The sequence below is a fragment of the Homo sapiens genome, chromosome 9 (assembly GCF_000001405.40).
Source record: "Homo sapiens chromosome 9, GRCh38.p14 Primary Assembly".
Taxonomy (NCBI): Eukaryota; Metazoa; Chordata; class Mammalia; order Primates; family Hominidae; genus Homo; species Homo sapiens.
In genome coordinates this window covers 124,901,525-124,921,271 of record NC_000009.12, presented here as the reverse complement: position 1 = coordinate 124,921,271, position 19,747 = coordinate 124,901,525, and the positions used below count along the sequence as shown (strand labels likewise).

The 19,747-nt window shown below is 43.4% G+C and overlaps 1 protein-coding gene across 9 annotated transcripts in view, besides 2 other annotated features; it reads left to right on the top strand.

Moving 5' to 3' along the window:
- The window catches only part of GOLGA1 (golgin A1), a 69,769-nt gene that overhangs the window by 26,772 nt on the left and 23,250 nt on the right, over window positions 1-19,747 (top strand). For all 9 annotated transcript variants that reach the window (XR_929766.2, XR_007061280.1, XR_007061279.1 and 6 more), the window contains exons 10-12: window positions 32-143; window positions 9,246-9,371; window positions 12,800-12,895. Coding sequence is in view for 6 of the 9 variants with exons in the window: in XM_047423242.1 (XP_047279198.1) it covers window positions 32-143; window positions 9,246-9,371; window positions 12,800-12,895 (334 nt within the window). In the remaining 3 variants the exon portion in view is untranslated. The remainder of the gene's footprint in view (window positions 1-31; window positions 144-9,245; window positions 9,372-12,799; window positions 12,896-19,747) is intronic.
- Window positions 1,927-2,188: a silencer, noted in NCBI's record as "fragment chr9:127681363-127681624 (GRCh37/hg19 assembly coordinates)". NCBI's record gives its function as "represses an EF-1alpha promoter that drives an FKBP-Casp9 reporter gene in an ReSE screen in K562 erythroleukemia cells {active_cell/tissue: K562}" and the evidence as "EXISTENCE:reporter gene assay evidence [ECO:0000049][PMID:32094911]".
- Window positions 17,412-17,912: an enhancer, noted in NCBI's record as "H3K27ac hESC enhancer chr9:127665639-127666139 (GRCh37/hg19 assembly coordinates)". NCBI's record gives its function as "activates a minimal SCP1, AML or CMV promoter by ChIP-STARR-seq in primed H9 embryonic stem cells {active_cell/tissue: H9 hESC(primed)}" and the evidence as "EXISTENCE:reporter gene assay evidence [ECO:0000049][PMID:30033119]".

The following is a 19,747-nucleotide window of genomic DNA, read 5'->3' as shown; positions in this document are numbered from 1 at the left end:
TTTGTTCATTGTCTGCTTTCTTTTGATGAAGAGATCATGTGATAGCTTCAAAAACAGGTGCAGAAAGTAAGATCACAGCCCTGGAACAAAAGGAACAAGAGCTCCAAGCACTCATTCAGCAGCTTTCCATTGATTTGCAAAAGGTAAGTAGAATATGAGGAGAAGACCTGGATTTCTAAGATTCATAAAAACTAATTCTTTCAGAAATTTCTGCCTGAGAGTAGCTACTGAACATACATTTCTCATGCAGTCCACATGGCTCCATTTCCTGTACTAGCCAGGCTGCACTCAGATGGAAATGGCCATACAGCTGAACAAGGGTTGCTTAGCAGAAGTAGTCAGTATTTTCCTGTCAGGAATTCTCAAAGTACACCATTTGGTCGACTCAAATATGTCTCTCTTTTTTTTTTTTTTTTCTTTTTTTTTGGGACAGAGTCTTGCTCTTGTCGCCCAGGTATTATAGGCGCCCGCCACCACACCCGGCTAATTTTTGTATTTTTAGTAGAGACAGGGTTTTACCATGTTGGCCAGGCTGGTCTCAAACTCCTGACCTCGTGATCCACCAACCTCGGCCTCCCAAAGTGCTGAGATTACAGGCGTGAGCCACCGTGCCTGGCCTGACTCAAATATGTCTTTAAGCACATAATGGACCTTGAGCATGAAAAATACAATAGTGGCTGACATGACCAGGGCTGTACCTTTGACATACTTGGCTCTAATCCAGTTTGTTTTATGGCACGTAATCAAATGATGTCATTACAATTTGTTTTTTCATTTCATTGACATACATTTGTTTCTACATTAGGGCTGTGCTACACTCTGAGAATATAAAGATGAATGATAATATTTTTGAATATAAAGTAGTGTTTCTCAGGCCCAGCACAGTGACTCAAGCCTGTAGTCCTAGCACTTTGGTAGGCCAAGGCAGGAGGATCACATGAGGTCCTCCTCTTGACCCCATCTCTACCAAAAAAAAAAAAAAAAATTAGCCAGTTGTGGTGGTGTGCACCTGTAGTTCCAGCTGTTTGGGAGGCTATGGTGGGAGAATCGCTTAAGCCCAGGAATTCAAGGCTGCAGTGGGCCATGACCATATCACAGCACTGTAGCCCAGGCAATAGAGCAAGACTATCTTTAAAAATAAAAATAAGGCTGGGTGTGGTGGCGTGCACCTGTAATTCCAGTACTTGGGAGGCTGAGGCAGGAGATTCGGTTAAACCTGGGAGGTGGAGGTTGCAAGTGAGCTGAGATTGTGCCACTGCGCTGCAGCCTGCCTGGGTGACAGAGAGAGACTCTGTCTTAAAAAAATAATAAAATAAATAAATAAATAAATAAATATAAATAAAATAAAGTAGTATTTCCCAATGACATAATTTATTATTGGCATTTTGAGCAGAACAACTCGTATTGTATGATTGTCCATTGCATTGCGCGACATTTAGCATTCCTGGCCTCTGGGTTCTGAATGCCAATAGCATCCTTCAGTCATTGACATCCAGCCCTTCCCCTCACATCACAGAACCACCCCCTATTCGGCAGTGCCATCCACCCTACCCTCATCTTTCAGAATTGCTGATCTCAAGTGAGACAGAGCCTTACAACATAATTACAGTACAGTAAGATTTTGTCAATAGAGGTCTTAGCTAAGTATTATCATACTTACAGATACCTAAGTGGAAACTAAGAGGTTATTGACCTTGTTCACAGTTATAACCGTAAGTGACAGAGTTGGATTCTAACCCAAGTCTTACTCCAGAACTCATGCTTATTCTACTGCACTTTGCTGCCTCACAATAAGGAGCACCCAGTAAATATATACGTGAATGAATGACTGTGATACAGGCTTTTTACCCTCAATGAACTAAAAATCTCAATACAGACATTGTTTTCCTTCAGAGGCTTACAGTTTCATTATAGAACTCAAACCTACTGTAATCACAAGAAAAGAAATGCTCAAACAAGAAGTCTCAAGTAAGTGAACTAGGTTTTTCTTTTTTCTTTTCTTTTTTTTCTTTTTTTTGAGACACGGTCTTGCTCTTTCACCCAGGCTGGAGTGCAGTGACGTCAACGGCTCACTGCAGCCTCAGCCTCCCAGGCTGAAGTGATCCTTCCACCTCAGCCTCCCAAATAGCTGGGACTACAGACACATGCCACTACAACAGGCTAATTTTTTTTTATTATTATTATCTGTAGAGATGGGGTTTCGCTATGTTGCCCAGGCTGGTCTCGAACTCCTGGGCTCAAGCAATCCACCCGCCTCAGCCTCCCAAAGTGCTGGGATTACAGAGGTGAACCACCACACTCAGCCCTAGATTTTTCAAATACAAAAGATATACCATAGGGGAAGTACATTCCAGCCCAGGAGTCAAGGAAATCTTCCTAGAGGAACTGGAATGTCAAGGATCAGGAGGACAGCAGGAGGCAGAAAAGGCAGAAGGTCAGAGAGTACATTTGGGGTCATGGAAGAAGGGGGAAAATAGATACACAACTTTGGTTTTTGTATTATTTTGTTTTTTTCTGAGACAGGGTCTCACTTTGTCACCTAGGCTGGAGTGCAATGGCGTGATCTTGGCTCACTGCAACCTCCACCTCCTAGGCTCAAGCAATCCTCCCACCTCAGCCTCCTGAATAGCAGGGACTACAGGCACCAACCGGGCTAATTTTTGTATTTTTAGTAGAGACAGGATTTCACCATGTTGGCCAGGCTGGTCTTGAACTCCTGGCATCAAGTGATCTGCCCACCTCGGCCCTCAAAGTGCTGGGATTACAGGCACCTGGCCACAACTTTGATAGTCAAGGGACCCTTTGATGTCAATTAGAACCATCTGTTGTTTTTATAATTGGAAAAATGGGGCTCAGGGAAGTCCAGACTTTGGTCACAGTAAGTTTCTTCATTCATTCTAAAAATATTAGTTGAGCTTTACTATGTGCTGGGCTCTGTGCTGGGTGTTCATAATATTATGGTGAGCAAAATAGATACAGTTCTTGCCTTTGTGGTGCTTATAGTCTAGAAGGGAAGTCAGACATTAATCAGTAATCACATATATAATTACTAACCGTGATGAGTGTTCTGAAAGAAAACTACGAGATTTAGTGAGATCCTATTAAAAGATATCAGATCAGGGCTGGGCTTGGTGGCTTACGCCTGCAGTCCCAGCACTTTGGGAGGCCGAGGCAGGTGGATCACCTGAGGTTGGGAGTTCGAGACCAGCTTGACCAACATGGAGAAACCCTGTCTCTACTAAAAATACAAAATTAGCTGGGCATGGTGGCACACACCTGTAATCCCAGCTACTTGGGAGGCTGAGGCAGGAGAATCGCTTGAACCCAGGAGGTGGAGGTTGCAGTGAGCCGAGATTGCACCATTGCACTCCAGCCTGGGCAAAAAGAGCGAAACTCCGTCTCAAAAAAAAAATATATATATATATCAGATCAGATCCAGTTGGAGCCGTAGAACACTTAAGGAAGTAACACTCGATACAGTGCTCAGGCTGGAGAGAAAGGGATGATGGGAGAGAATTTCAAGCAGGGAACAGCATGAACAAAAACTCTGAGGCAAATAAAAGGATTAGCACATTCAAGGAACTAGAAGAAAGCCAGTGACATACAGAATAAGAGAGAATAACAGATTACTCTGGCCGTTAGGAGACTGAGAGGGTCTTCCACTTAGGAAGCTTTTGCAGTTGTTCGACCGTAAGATGATGGAGGCTTTGACAAGTGTGGTGGTGAAGATAATAATGGGTAGACAAATGTAAGAACTATTGAAGAGATTGACAGACTTACTAATGTAATAGATATGGGAGGACAGGAAGAGAAAAGTCTGTATTTTTATGGGTGATTTATGGGCTTCTGGCTTGGGCAAAAGAAGGGCTGGTATTGTGTGAAGATTGTAAATTTGGAATTTGTTTTTTTCTTGTCTTTATTGAGTATATATAAAAACATATTTATAAAATATGAGTATGATAGAAAGTATAATAAGGCAATGAGCCCTCTGAGCTATCCCTCAGGTTAAGAAAAAGAACAATGTGTTTATCTTTGAGGTTCCCTCTGTGCCCTTCACTATTCCATCCCATTCCTTTTTCCTTTGGAAGTAAGTACTATTTGGAGATTGCTTCATTGTCTACTTTGCTTTCTAATGTTGTCAGTTTTATCCCTAAACTATCTTCTTTAGTTTCCCATGCTTGTTAATGTTATATAAATCATTCTGTAGGTATTTTTCTAAACTTACTTTTTGTGCTCAACATTGCACTCCTGAAAAACATTCATATGATACCTGGAGCTATAATTTATTTTTTCTCAATTATATAGTAATATAGTAGGGACATACCAAAATTTTAATTTTTGTCGATGGTGGGTTTTTTTTTTGTTTTCGTTTTTTTTTTTTTTTTTTTTTTTTTGTGTGTCAGGGTCTCACTCTGTCACCCAGGCTGGAGTGCAATGGTGCAATCATGGCTCACTGCAGCCTCAAATTCCTGGGTGTAAGTGATCCTCCTACTTCAGCCTCCCATATATCTGGGACTACAGGCTTACACTACCACACCTGGCTAATTAAAAAAAAATTTTTTTATAGTTAAGGTCTCACTATGTTGCCCAGGCTAGTTTTGAATTCCAGGACACAAGCAATCCTCCTGCCTCAGCCTCCCAAAGTCCTGGGATTACAGGCATGAGCCACTTTGCCTGGCTTGTGAAGATTTTTAATTACTGAATAGATTTCCTTAATGGTAATTCTAAGTTTATGTATTTCTTCCTAAGTTTTGTTAATTTATATTTTTCTACATAATTGTTCATTTGCTATAAGTTTAATGTTTTGGCATTGTATTTCTTATATTCTTTTTTTAGTTGCTCCCCTATCTTCATTCATAGTAGTATTTATGCATTTTCTATTTTTTTCTAGTTTATTCTTACCAGATGTCTGTCAGTTTGGAAACAAAATTTTACTTTAATTCTTTTCATTTTGTTTTTATTTAACCCACAGTGTTCAGAATTACACATTTTTTACTCTACTGGATAGCAGTTCCTCAACTGTAGCCATTATCTTTCAACTTCCCAATTTATGTTCTTCCTAACCTGTATTGTACTTAACACAATATTTTCATGGAATTCACCTTACTTTTTTTTTTTTACTTAAATAAGTATATTTATGTATTTATTTATTTATTTATTTATTTATTTAGAGATACAGTCTTGCTCTGTTGCCCAGGCTGGAGTGCAGTGGTGTGATCTTGGCTCACTGCAGCCTCCACCTCCCAGGTTCAAGTGATTCTCCTGCCTCAGCATCCCGAGTAGCTGGGACTATAGGCACATGCCACCATGCCCAGCTAATTTTTGTATTTTTAGAAGAGACAGGGTTTCACCATATTGGTCAGGCTGGTCTTGAACTCCTGACCTCTTGATCTGCCTGCCTCGGACTCCCAAAGTGCTAGGATTACACACGTGAGCCACCACGCCCTGCCATTTATTTTATTTTATCTATCTATTTATTTATTTTTGAGACAGAGTTTTGCTCTTGATGCCCAGGCTGGAGTGCAGTGGCGCGATGTTGGCTCACTGCAACCTCAACCTTTTTTGTTTTCAATTTTTTTACTTTTGTAGAGAAAAGATCTCCCTGTGTTACCTGGGCTGGTTTTGATCTCCTGGCTTTAAGCAAGCCTCCTGCCTCGGCCTCTCACAGTGCTGGGATTACAAACATAAGCCACTGGTCTCAGCACCATAAATACATTTATAATGAAGGAAAAAAAGGCATGTTGGGAGAACCAAAAGGATAGACAAGTGGTTAACGCTTAGAAAGGAAGTGGAAACGGTGCTAGATGAGGCTGGGAAGGTATGCAGGGCCAGTTGTATAGACTAAATAGTGAACATGAAATTTCATAAATAATCATTAGTGAATATTTAACAAGAATAGCTGAGCATTTACCCTGAGCTCAGTATTCAAGAGCTTTACAGATAGGGACTCATCGAGTCCTCACAACTACCCTTTGGTTAGACAGTGTTTTCCTATTTTACAGGTGATAGTAATGGGCATCTGACATCAAAGGCTAAATGATTTGTCAAGACCGTACAGCTGGAGTCAATGACAGAGCCAGGATTCAGACTCATGTCTGTCTGAATCAAGTGACCACCACCCAGAATTGATGCAGTCCATATTCTGGGACTATAACTGTGAGACCCAGACTCGGGAGGGAGTAGGTGAAGAGGGTGATCATTAGGAAAGGGGCAGGTTTGATGTCAGGGAGTATGGCTTGGTAACTGTTCCCGTAGTCCACATGAGGTGTAGAGGGCCTGAAGTAAATCAGCCAGCCTGGAGAAGGAGATCGCATATCAATATGTTGCACAAGAGGCATAAGTGGAACTTGGCCACTGATTCTTTTTCTGTCCCTAACTTTGCCTAACACAGTGACCTGTGTAAGATGTGTTGTTTTGGTTTTAACTGGAATGGGTCATCTATACCTCTTGAATTCAGATTGATGTGTAGGGGAACAAATGCAGACTTTGGATCCAGAAGACCTGGATTTAAATTCTTCATCTATCGCTAATAGGTATATGCCTTTGGGCTAGTCCCTAAGCTTCAGTTTCCTTGTAAATGGATGTGATAAAGAGCATTTGTAAGGACTAGACATAATAGGAAGTGCTTGCAGCGTTCCCTTGACCCTATATGTCTGTCTTTACGCTATTACCACACTGTCTTGGTCATTGTCACTTTAGAGTTGAAATCAGGTAATGTTCTCCAACTCTTACATCAACAGTTACTCTTTTTCTTTCCTTTTTTTTTTTCTTTGAGACGGAGTGTCGCTCCTCGCTCAGGCTGGAGTGCAGTGGCGCGATCTTGGCTCACTGCAAGCTCCGCCTCCCAGGTTCACGCCGTTCTCCCGCCTCAGCCTCCTGAGTAGCTGGGACTACAGGCGCCTGCCACCACGTCCGGCTAATTTTGTTTTTGTATTTTTAGTAGAGATGGGGTTTCACCGTGTTAGCCAGGATGGTCTCGATCTCCTGACCTCGTGATCTGCCCACCTCAGCTTCCCAAAGTGCTGGGATTACAGGCGTGAGCCACCACGCCCAGCCTACAGTTATTCTTTTTCAAGATTGCTGCAGCAATCTTGTTATAGCTGCTTCTGCTATATTACAGTTATAACTATTGCTAGTATTAACATTAGTAATAAGAGACCCATAAAGATGGGTCAACATGGCCAAAACTGGCTTTTTTTTTCCTATCACACTCACTCACTTTCCTGTGTTATCCACCTTGCATAATGTTACCATTTGCCCAGGTGTCTGAGCCACAGACCTGAGAGTTGTGTTCAGCTGTTCTTTCCTCCTCACCCAGCCTCTAGCCTTGCAGGACTTGTCTGTTACCTCTTTGTATGTGCTGCCCTTTATGCAGAATGATTGTTCCTCTTCCACCCTCTTTCACCTGGACTTGCCCATTCAGGAGGCCTGATCTGATTCTCCCAGTTAATCCCTCTTGCATCTCATATCTCATAGCACGGTGTGTGTCCCTCTGTTGAAGCACAGTTGTTTTGTAATTAGGTGTGTGTCTGTCTCCACCACCAGCCTCCATGCTGGAATTAATGTTGATTGTATCCTCAGAAAACAACAGATAGAGTTCAGGCTTGATGAAAGTTTATTGAATTGTGGGGTCATAAATCTAGTCTTCAGACTTCCCCTCCACTATCTCTGTTGTCCACCTGTGAGAATTCAGAATGGCAAATACTTCTTCCCAAAACCATACACCCTGGTTGCTGCATCTTATCCTGAGGAGAGATCGGCCAAGTTACAACTGAACATGAAAGTTTATGGCTTGAAATGGAGCAACGGAAGTGTAAGATAAGGGAATTTGAGGGAACAGAGTACATGTAAAGAGGTACAAGTCTTCACAGTGAGATTTTGTTGCCCTACAACCTTTTCTGGGGAAGAATGGGCATCCTCAGTGGGGATGTAAGAACTCATGTATTCAAAGCTTCCTGGATCCTCTGCTTTGACATTGAGCAGTGATATGGTTAGGCTCCGTGTCTCATCTCAAATTGTAATGCCCACATGTCAAGGGAGGGACCTGGTGGGAGGTGATCGGATCATGGAGGCAGATTTCTCCTTTGCTGTTCTTGTGATAGTGAGTGAGTTCTCATGAGAGCTGATGGTTTTACAGTATGGCACTTCCCCCCTCGCTCGCTTGCTCTATCCTGCCACCGTGTAAGATGTACCTTGCTTCCCCTTCTCCTTCTGCCATGCTTGTAAGTTTCCTGAGGCCTCCCAGCCATGTGGAACTGTGAGTCAATTAAATCTCTTTCCTTTATAAATTACTCAGTCTCAGGTATTCTTTATAGCAGTGTGAGAATGGACTAATACAAGCAGCAGTTGAAGATTAGTAGCAGTAAAAGGAACCAAGTTAGTCCCAACCTGTTGCTACCACCACTACCATCATAGCTAAAGAGATAGACTGGCCAGGCACAGTGGCTTACGCCTGTAATCCTAGCACTTTGGGAGGCCGAGGCTAGTGGATCATGAGGACAGGAGATTGAGACCATCCTGGCCAATATGGTGAAACCCCGTCTCTACTAAAAATACAAAAAATTAGCCGGGTGTGGTGGTGGGCGCCTGTAGTCCCAGCTACTCGGGAGGCTGAGGCAGGAGAATGGCGTAAACCCAGGAGGTGGATGTTGCAGTGAGCCGAGATCGCGCCACTGTACTCCAGCCAAGGCAACAGAGCGACACTCCGTCTCAAAAAACCAAAAATAATAGATTGAAATAAAACGGGCAGCTGTTGGTCTAAAGCCAAGGTATGAGAAGCATGGCAGCTCTGCTGTGGTCCCTGTCCTGTGAGCCAGGTGAATCTCATCATTTCAGAAGTTCTCTCTTTAGCCTTAAAGCCACTACATCAGCACTGTTACTGCTTTATCCAGCCCCTCAGCTTTCAGGAGCATTGTTCCATAGGTCATTGCAGGCTGAGTGCTTCTTGGTGGGATTAGTTCTGCTGCCTCTACCACGTAGGTAATGCCTTTGTTCCAGACTGTCAGTTGTTTAATTGGGAAGAGTGTTTGCTTCTTGCTGCACTAGGTCTGAGCTGGATCCCTGAGTTTTGCCAGGTTCTAATCTTGCATTTTCTGTATCCCATTTTCAGGAAGATCTCTTAGCTGTTTGTTCTTCTAGGATACAGTTGAGGACAGAGTTGCAGGAAAATGTGATGGCCCAAAAGAAAGCAGGAAGGAAGGAAGAGAGGGCTTCTAGTATAGAGTGATCTCTGCTTTCACCTGCAGGTCACTGCTGAAACTCAAGAGAAAGAAGACGTTATCACACATTTGCAAGAGAAGGTTGCATCCTTGGAGAAGAGACTAGAACAGAACTTATCAGGAGAAGAACACTTGCAAGAACTCCTGAAAGAGGTAACTTCTGTTCTCTTTGGGCTGGCTGGTGTTGGAAAGGCAGGGTTGATTCTGGTGACTTCACAATTCCTAGAGTTTCAGAGCTGTAGGGCCAGCAAACAGCATGGTAACAAAAGAAGTGTCTCCAACTTTGGCTTGTCCTGCTTACATCAGAAAGAGCCTTATGTCCCCTGTGGGTGACATGCTTTTCTCAGGGAAAGGGAGAGCTGTATTCAGAGATACATACAAACGGATAGCATCTCATCACCAATAAACCACACCTAGTGATTTCCGCCACTTGGGCTGCCTTGTCTTTCTGCACTGCCCTCTTCCCCACCATTTTGTACTCTGCAGTGGCCAAGGTAAATAGCTACATCTGCCCCTTGGCAAAAGCAAGAATTACCTTGGGCAGCATTCTCTCCTTCCCAAGGGAGGCTGTTGTGCAGACTGGCCTCTTCCCCAGTGGTGCAAGGGAACTTTCTCATCAGGCTGAGCTCATTGTCTGCACACATTCTGCTCTTCCCTCTCTTTCTGTTCCAGTGATTGGCCACACTGTGACAAAGGTGACAAAGCCCAGGTCATGAGGCTCCTAGATTAGACCCTCCCTTTCTTTCTTCAGTCAGTTTCAACTAAATACCTCCATCTCCAGTGCCACTGGTTGTACTTCAGGGTTTCCAGCAAATCTAGCCTAGTCTATGTTAGAAGTCTCCAGATTGGCCTACCCAGCATCAGTCTCTCTTCCTTCACTCTCTGACACAGTCTCCCACGCTCACTGCCAAACTGATCCTCCTAATCAGCACTGGTGACCATATCACTCTCTTAAACATCTTCTACAATTCCCTTCAACAGTCTACAGGAAGTGTAATGTGGGTTCTAGGGAATAAATTGATTTCTAGAATCAGAATGTCCATGCTTGCATTTTGCCTCTTCTGCTTACCAGCTTTGACTTGGAGCAGCAGTTCCCAACCGTTTTGGCACCAGGGACTGGTTTCGTGGAAGACAGTTTTTCCACAGATGGGGTCAGGTTGGGTCGGGTGAGGGGGTGGTTTCAGAATAAAACTGTTCCACCTCAGATCATCATCGTCCCTAGATTCTCATAAGGAGTGTGCAACCTGGATCCCTCACTTGCACAGTTCACAATAGGGTTCATGCTCCTATGAAAATCTAACACCACCACTGATGTGACTGGAGGCAGATCTTAGGTGGTAGTGCTTACTCACCACTCACCTCCTGCTGTGCGGCCTGGTTCCTAACAGACTGCAAGGTCTGTGGCCCAAGGGTTGGGGACCCCTGACTTAGAGCAAGTAATTTAATCTCTTTGTGTTTGCTTCCTCCCCAATAAAATTGGTTTTATTATACTATTAAACTCAGAATTGTTGTTAGGGTTAAATAAGTTACAATATGTGAAGTGCTTAGAATGATAACCGGAACAGAGTAGGGTCTCAATGTATGTCAGCTGTAAACATGATCAATATTATTATTGTGCCATCATCATTATTATAATGTTTAATGTGCATAGAAATTACTTGGGAAGTTTGTTTAAAGTATATATCTCTAGGCCAGGCGTGGTGGCTCACGCCTGTAATCCCAGCACTTTGGGTAGCCGAGGCGGGCAGATCACCTGAGGTCAGGAGTTCAAGACCAGCCTGGCCAACATGGCAAAACCCCGCCTCTATTAAAAATACAAAAATTAGGCCAGGCGCGGTGGCTCACACCTATAATCCCAGCACTTTGGGAGGCCGAGGCGGGCGGATCACAAGATCAGGAGATCGAGACCATCCTGGCCAACATGGTGAAAGCCCGTCTCTACTAAAAATACAAAAATTAGCTGGGCGTGGTGGCACATGCCTGTAGTCCCAAGCTACTCCGGAGGCTGAGGGAGGAGAATTGCTTGAACCTGGGAGGTTGCAGTGAGCTGAGATCATGCCACTGCACTCCTGCCTGGTGACAGAGCGAGACTCTGTCTCAAAAAAATAAATAAATAAATAAATTAGCTGGGCATGGTGGCGGGTGCCTGTAATTCCAGCTACTCAGGAGGCTGAAGCAAGAGAATCACTTGAACCCAGGAGGCGGAGGTTGCAGTGAGCCAAGATCGCACCACTACTTTCCAGCCTGAGCGACAAGAGTGAAATTCCATCTCAAAAATAATAAATAAGTAAATAAAGTATATATCTCTGGCCCTACCCTCAGAAATTCTGATTTCCTTAGGCTTGGAGCAAGGCCTCAAATCTGTGCAACTAGCTGAGATTAACAACTATCTCAGTAACAGCTATCTCAGCTAAGTCTACATTTCTTTTTTTTTTTTTTTTTTTTGAGACGGAGTCTCACTCTGTTGCCCAGGCTAGAGTGCAGTGGCGTGATCTCGGCTCACTGCAACCTCTGCTTCCCGGGGTTCAAGTGATTTTCCTGCCTCAGCATCCCGAGTAGCTGGGACTACAGGTGCACACCACCACATCCAGCTAATTTTTTTGTATTTTTAGTAGAGACAGGGCTTCACCATGTTGGTCAGGCTGGTCTCGAACTTCTGACCTCGTGATCTGTCCACGTCGGCTTCCCAAAGTGCTGGGATTACAGGCGTGAACCACCGCTCCCAGCCCCATTTTTTTTTTTAAGACAGAGTCTCACTCTGTCACCCAGGCTGGAGTTCAGTGGTACAATCTCTGCTCACTGCAACTCCGCTTCCTGGGTTCAAGTAATTCTCCTGCCTCAACCTCCCAAGTAGCTGGGATTACAGGTACCCACCACCACATCCAGCTAATTTTTAAAATATTTTTAGTAGAGATGGGATTTCACCACGTTAGCCAGGCTGGTCTCGAACTCCTGACCTAAAGTGATCTGCCTGCCTCAGCCTCCCAAAGTTCTGGGATTACAGGTGTGAGCCACCACACCCGGCCTAGAATTTCTACTTTGAAAAATGTTGCTTACAGAATCAAGTTCTAACTCCTTTTTGCAACATTCAAAAGCTTCTCATGAGCTGGCCCTTTTGCCTATCTTTCTAGTCTTGTTTTTTGACCTAAACCCATCATCATTTTGGCTTCTGAGGAGTAGTAGTTCCCTCAACGTAGCAGGCTGTTCACATAGCCGTTGGTCATCCCCCTGCCTGGGAGGCTCCCTGAACCCTAACGACTTTGTGAGTTCTAAAGCTGCCTACCTGCCCTGTGGCAGGGAGTATCTCCCACCCTGTGCTTCTTCCTCTTTGTGGACACTTACTGTACTCTATTGTGTAATTTTTTATTAGTCTTTTGTTCCAGCCTCAAGGTCAAGGGACTATTTCAAATTTATCTGTGTGTACTTTATGATATGTGAATTATTTCTCAATTAGCTGAATTATTAAAAATGTATTCATGTCTCTTGTGCCTAGCACAAGTCACAATATGTTGTAGATAATCTGTAAATATTTATTCAACTGAGGAATGATAGTCTTCTTTTACTCTTCTTTCAACTTACAGAAAACACTTGCTGAGCAGAATTTGGAGGATACCAGACAACAGCTCTTGGCAGCCAGAAGCAGCCAGGCTAAGGCCATTAACACCCTGGAGACTCGGGTACTGACCTTACTCCTGGTGTTTCCTAAGTTTGGGTGGTAACCTGGCTGAATGGCAACATGGTGTGACTGAGAATCTTCTTGGTCAGAGTTTTTTCACTAGAAGGGATTATTTTTGGATCTTACCTATACAGGGATGAGTTAGTCATTTTCTTCATCCTTGTCACATTACTATGATTGAGTTATATGTTTATTTATACCCTTTTATCCCCATTGGCCTCCCTCCCATAGGATACCATTCCGTTGTGGTTCATATAGATGCTCTTTTTGTTGGGTTGTTTTAAAATATGTAGCACTGGGTTTTTAATTTCTGTAAATGATGCAGCTATGGGTATGTTTTCTCTATTACTTTTAGCTGCCTCAACTTCTGTCTGTACCCACTTCATTGTACTTTGTAGTTATCTATGTGGTAGACATCCAGATTGCTTCCTTCTTCCTGCCACCTCAGATCATGCATAAAACCTAAAGAGACTAAGTACTATAGGAGAAGATTGTTCCCAGCAAGCCTGCACCTGGCTCTCCTCCTCCAGCATGCATGAGCGTTCCTATATATGCCTTTCTGACTTTTCCAGCATTGGCATTTCCAAGCCTTTACAATTTTTGCCAGTTTACTGAGTGTGGAGTGGTATTTCATTGCTTTAATTTGCATTGCTATGGTGATTAATGAGTTTGGCCTTGTCTTCATGTGCCTGTTAATTCCTGGGGGTTTCTGCTTTTGGAATTGCCCATTCATATCCTTTCCTTATTTTCTTTGGGGGTTTCAGTCTTTTCTTATTTGGTTTGTAGGATTTCATTGTATATTCTTGTTCCTAATGCTTTATCAGTTTCAGTCCTGAGTCATTCTGTTAACTTTGTCCATGTATCCTTTGTTGAATAGACTTTCTTAAGTTCAGTGTTACCAGATTCATCACATTTTTGCTGTGGAGTTTGAAGTTCCATTTAGAAAATCTATTCCTGTTCCTAAGTCACAGAGATCTACTGTTTTTTCCCTATTAACTTTATAATTTTTCCTTCACATAATAAATCTCTAATTCACTTACAAACTGTCTTTCTGTATGGTCTTAGGTAGGGATCTAAATATGGAGAAATTCTGCATATTTCTCAAAATCATTTACTAAACAGTCTGTCCTTTCTGAATTGATTCCTCTTGCTAACTTTATCACGTATTGTTTCTGTCTGCACATGGGTTTGTCTCTGCATTCTCTGTCCATTGGTCTGATTGTCTGCTCTTGTGTAAACACTACAATGTTTTTATTACTATAGTGATATCTGTACTATATCTCAACACCCAATAAGACAAATTCTCTTTTTTTTTCAAAGGTTGACTTTAACTATTTATGGGCCTTTAAAATTTTTAAGTTTTTGAGTTACTAAAAAATTCAACTTGAATTTTTATTGGGATTGCATTAAATGTATAGGCTAATTGGGAAAAATTGTCCATTTTATAATATTAATTATTCCTTCTAACAATGTAAATATATTCCATTTATTCAGATTATTTTCTGTGTGTTTTATTAAAATTTTACATTTTTCTCAATAGATGTCTTATTTTCTTGCCTAAGTTGCTAATTCCTAGAAACTTTAGAGTTTGTGTTGATACTGTGATGGTATCTTTTTTTTCTTTTGAGACAGAGTTTTGCTCTTGTCACCCAGGCTGGAGTGCAATGGCACAATCTCGGCTCACTGCAACCTCCACCTCTCGGGTTCAAGCGATTCTCCTGCTTCAGCCTGCCGAGTAGCTGGGATTACAGGTGTCCAGCATCACGCCCAGCTAATTTTTTTATATTTTTAGTAGAGACAGGGTTTCATCATGTTGGCCAGGCTGGTCTCAAACTCCTGACCTCAGATGATCCGCCTGCCTTGGCCTCCCAAAGTGCTGGGTTTATAGGCGTGAGCCACCGCGCCCGGCCTGTGATGGTATCTTATTTTTAATCTTTCTTTTTTTTTGAGATAGAGTCTCACTCTGTCGCCCAGGCTGGAGTGCAGTGGCACTATCTTGGCTCACTGCAGCCTCTGCCTCCTGGGTTCCAGCGATTCTCCTGCCTCAGCCTCCCAAGTAGCTGGGATTACAGGCACGTGCCACCACGCTAAGCTAATTTTTATGTATTTAGTAGAGACAGGGTTTCACCATGTTGAGGCTGGTCTCAAACTCCTGACCTTAGGTGATCCGCCTGCCTTGGCCTCCCAAAGTGCTAGGATTATAGGCATGACCCACTGCGCCAGGCCCTTATTTATTTATTTATTTATTTATTTATTTATTTTTTGGAGACACAGTCTCACTCTATCCCCCAGGCTAGAGTGCAATAGTGCCATCTCGGCTCCCTGCAACCTCCGCCTCCCAGGTTGAAGCAATTCTTCTGCGTCAGCCTTCTGAGTAGCTGGAATTACAGGCACGTGCCACCACGCCCGACTAATTTTTGTATTTTTAGCAGAGACGGGGTTTTGTCATGTTGGCCAGGCTGGTCTCGAACTCCTGACCTCAGCCTCGGCCTCCCAAAGTGCTGGAATTACAGGCACGAGCCACCACACCCGAACTTTATTTTTAATCATATTTATAATTGGTTATTTCTGGTTATTCTAGAGAACTGCCATTTTTTAAAGTTGATCTTGGATATCACACCCCTGCTGAACTTTCTTACTCTACTACTGTGTGATTTTTTTGTTGTTTTTCTTAGGTAGATAATCATATTATCTATGAAAAAATGACAACTTTATCTTACTCCTTCCAATCTTCCCACCTCTTATTCCATTTTCTGTTCATATAGCATTAAAGACCTCCAGACTGAGTGAAGCAATAAAAGGGTTAGTGGGAATCTTTGTTTTGTTCCCAGTCTTAAAGGAAATATGCCTAAAGTTTCATTATTTGGTGTAACATTTGCAGGTTTTTGGTATGTATGTATTTATTTATTTATTTATTTGAGGCAGAGTCTCACTCTCATCCAGGCTGGAGTGCAGTGGCATGATCTCGGCTCACTGCAACCTCCGCTTCCCAGGTTCAAACAATTCTCCTGCCTCACCCACCCAAGTAGCTGGGTTAAAAGATGCCTGCCTCCACGCCTGGCTAATTTTTATATTTTTAGTAGAGACGGGGTTTCACTATGTTGGCCAGGCTGGTCTCAAACTCCTGACCTCAAGTGATCCACCCATCTCAGCCTCCCAAAGTACTGGGAATACAGCACCATATATTTATTTATTTATTTATTTTTATTTTATTTTATTATTATTATTTTTTGAGATGGACTCCCGCTGTATCACCCAAGCTGTAGTGTAGTGTCCTGATCTCAGCCTACCACAACCTCCGCCTCCCAGGCACAAGCGATTCTCCTGCCTCAACCTCCCAAAGAGCTGGAATTATGGGTGTGTACCACCACACCCGGCTCATTTTTTTTTTTGTATTTTTTTAATTTATTTTATTTTATTTATTTTTTTTTTTTGAGACAGAGTCTGGCTCTGTAGCCTGGGTTGGCGTCCAGTGGTGCAATCTTGGCTCACTGCTCTCTCTGCCTCCTGTGTCCTGGTTCAAGCAGTTCTCCTGCCTCAGCCTCCCAAGTAGCTGGGATTACAGGCATGTGACCATGCCCAGCTAATTTTTGTATTTTTGGTAGAGACAAGGTTTCACCATGTTGGCCAGGCTGGTCTTGAACTCCTGACCTCGTGATCCACCTGCCTCAGCATCCCAAAGTGGTAGGATTACAGGCGTGAGCCACTGCGCCCAGCCTTTTTGTATTTTTAGTGGAGACGGGGTTTCACCATGTTGGCCAGGCTGGTCTCAAACTCCTGACCTCAAGTGATCTGCCCACCTCAGCTTCCCAAAGTGCTGGGATTACAGATGTGAGTAACTGTGCTGGCCAATTTGTTTAATTTCTTGAATTGAATATTTATCTCATTTTTAAAATCTTTCTTATTTCCTGATAAATACATTTTAAACTATATTTTTCTGAAAAGACTGTTTTATTATAATTTCAATTCTGTTTCTGAATATCCTTTTTGATCAGTGTACATTGTCGTACAACCATCACCACCATCCATCTCCAAAACTTTTTCATCTTCCCAAACAGAAACTCTATACTTATTAAACAGTAACTCCCCAATTCCTCCTACCCCAGTCTGGGAACCACCATTCTATTTTCTGTCTCTTTGAGTTTGGACACTCTAGATACCTCCTGTTGGTGGAATCATACAATGTTTGTCCTTTTGTGTCTGGCTTATTTGACTTAGTATATACATCTTCAGTGTTCATCTATGTTGTAGCATATGTCAGACTTTCATTCCTTTTTTTTTTTTAACAGAATTTTTTTTTTTTTTAGAATTTTTTTGAGATGGAGTCTTGCTCCGTCATCAGGCTGGAGTGCAGTGGCACGATCTCGGCTCACTGCAACCTCCGCTTCCTAGGTTCAAGCAATTCCCCTACCTCAGCCTCCCGAGTAGCTGGGACTACAGGCGCGCGCCTACAGGCACGCTCCACCACGCCTGGCTAATTTTTTGCATTTTAGTAGAGATGGGGTTTCACCATGTTGACCAAGATGGTCTCAATCTCCTGACCTTGTGACCCGCCCACCTCGGCCTCCCAAAGTGCTGGGATTACAGGTATGAGCCACTGTGCCTGGCCTATTCCTTTTTAAGACTGAATAATATTCCATTATATGTATAGACCACATTTTGTTTCTCCATTCATTCATTGATGAACACTTGAATTCCATTTGTCTTTTTTTTTTTTTTTTTTTTTGGTCTTTTTCTCCCCTTTTTGTGGAGAACAGGGTCTCCCTATGTTGCCCAGGCAGGTCTCCAATTCCTGGGCTCAAGCTATACCTTTGTTTCCCTAAGTGCTTGGCTTGCAGGCACGAGCCCCCGTTCTGTAAGCCCAGTACTTAGGGAGGCAAAGGCATAGCTTTTTTTTTTTTAGACAAAATCTCGCTCTGTTGCCCAGGCTGGAGTGCAGTGGTGCGATCTTGGCTCACTGCAACCCCCACCCCGCAGGTTTAAGCAGTTTTTGTGCCTAAGCCTTCTGAGTAGCTGGGACTACACATATAGACCACCACGCCTTGTATTTTTAGCAGAGATAGGGTTTTGCCATGTTGGCCAGGCTGGTCTCGAACTCCTGGCCTCAAGTGATCCACCCGTCTTGGCCTTCCAAAATGCTGGGATTACAGGCATAAGCCACCGCACCCAACCCACACCCAGCTTTTGATGGACATTTGCGTTGTTTCTATCTTTTGGCTGTTGTGAATAATGCTACCATGAACGTTCCTGTACAAGGTTTTTGTGTGGACTTAGTGTTTTCATTTCTCTTCAGTGTATACCTAGGAATAAAATTGCAGGGTGATATGGTAACTTTTTCTTTAATCTCTTGAAGATCTGAATCTATCTTGAACTTGGCTTCTAAATTGAGACTTAGGTATTTTCTGATCTCAGGAGTGTAAAACAACGTCTTAGTTTTGGCGCTACCACCAATAAAATTTGCAGTCATGAGCTAGTAACAATCCTGTTCTTCTCCGTGGACTAGTAGCCCCTTTCTCATGGGATTGTTTCGGTTAAATCTAAGATGTGAATGTATGTGAGGAGCCTAGGCCTTAAAAACGTCCTCTCCTTGGCTGGACACGGTGGCTCATGCCTGTAATCCCAGCACTTTGGGAGGCTGAGGCGGGCGGATCACAAGGTCAGGAGATCGAGACCATCCTGGCTAACACGGTGAAACCCTGTCTCTACTAAAAATACAAAAAATTAGCTGGGCATGGTGGCAGGCGCCTGTAGTCCCAGCTACTCAGGAGGCTGAGGCAGGAAAATGGCGTGAACCCAGGAGGCGGCGGAGCTTTCAGTGAGCCGAGATCGCGCCACTGCACTCAAGCCTGGGCGACAGAGCAAGACTGTCTCAAAAAGAAAAAAAATCCTCTCCTTGTGTGTCTACCTCTCCTTCACCAAGCTGCATACAGCCTTCCTTGTGCTTATGTTTAATAATAAAGCTCCCCAGCTGGGCGCGGTGAATCACACCTGTAATCCCAGCACTTTGGGAGGCCAAGGCAGGCGGATCATGAGGTCAGGAGATCGAGACCATCCTGGCTAACACAGTGAAACCCCGTCTCTACTAAAAAATAGAAAAAATTAGCTGGGTATGGTGGCAGTTGCCTGTAGTCCCAGCTACTCAGGAGGCTGAGGCAGGAGAATGGCGTGAACCCGGGAGGTGGAGCTTGCAGTGAGCCGAGATCATGCCACTGCACTCCAGCCTGGGCGACAGAGCGAGACTCCATCTCAAAAATAATAATAATAATAATAAAGCTCCCCAAGGCCAGACCTTATTCAGTAAATAAGAAGGCTTTCTAAGAGAAATTCATAGATGTAGCTTGAATCTGGTAAAACTGCCATCTTGGAGAGCCAAGTGCAACTCAGTACTAGACAGTGAGTCCCTGAGGGCCAGTCTACATCTGTCCCACTCACGGCACTGGCCTCGTGCCCAGGTGCAGTTCCTGGTATGGAGTCAGTCTTGCTCAGTATTTGTGGAATGAGTAAATCCTGAATTTGTATTGTGAACAGTAATTCCACTTCAAGGAATCTGTCCTAAGGAAGTGATTCAAACCAGTTAAAAAAATACTGTGTGTCCTGGCCAACATGGTGAAACCCCGTCTCTATTAAAAATACAAAAATTAGCAACCAGGTGCGGTGGCTCATGCCTGTAATTGCAGCACTTTGGGAGGCCGAGGTGGGCGGATCACGAGGTCAGCAGATCGAGACCATCCTGGCTAACATGGTGAAACCCTGTCTGTACTAAAAATACAAAACATTAGCTGGGTGTGGTGGCATGTGCCTGTAGTCCCTAGCTACTCAGGAGGCTGAGGTAGGAGAATCACTTGAACCCAGG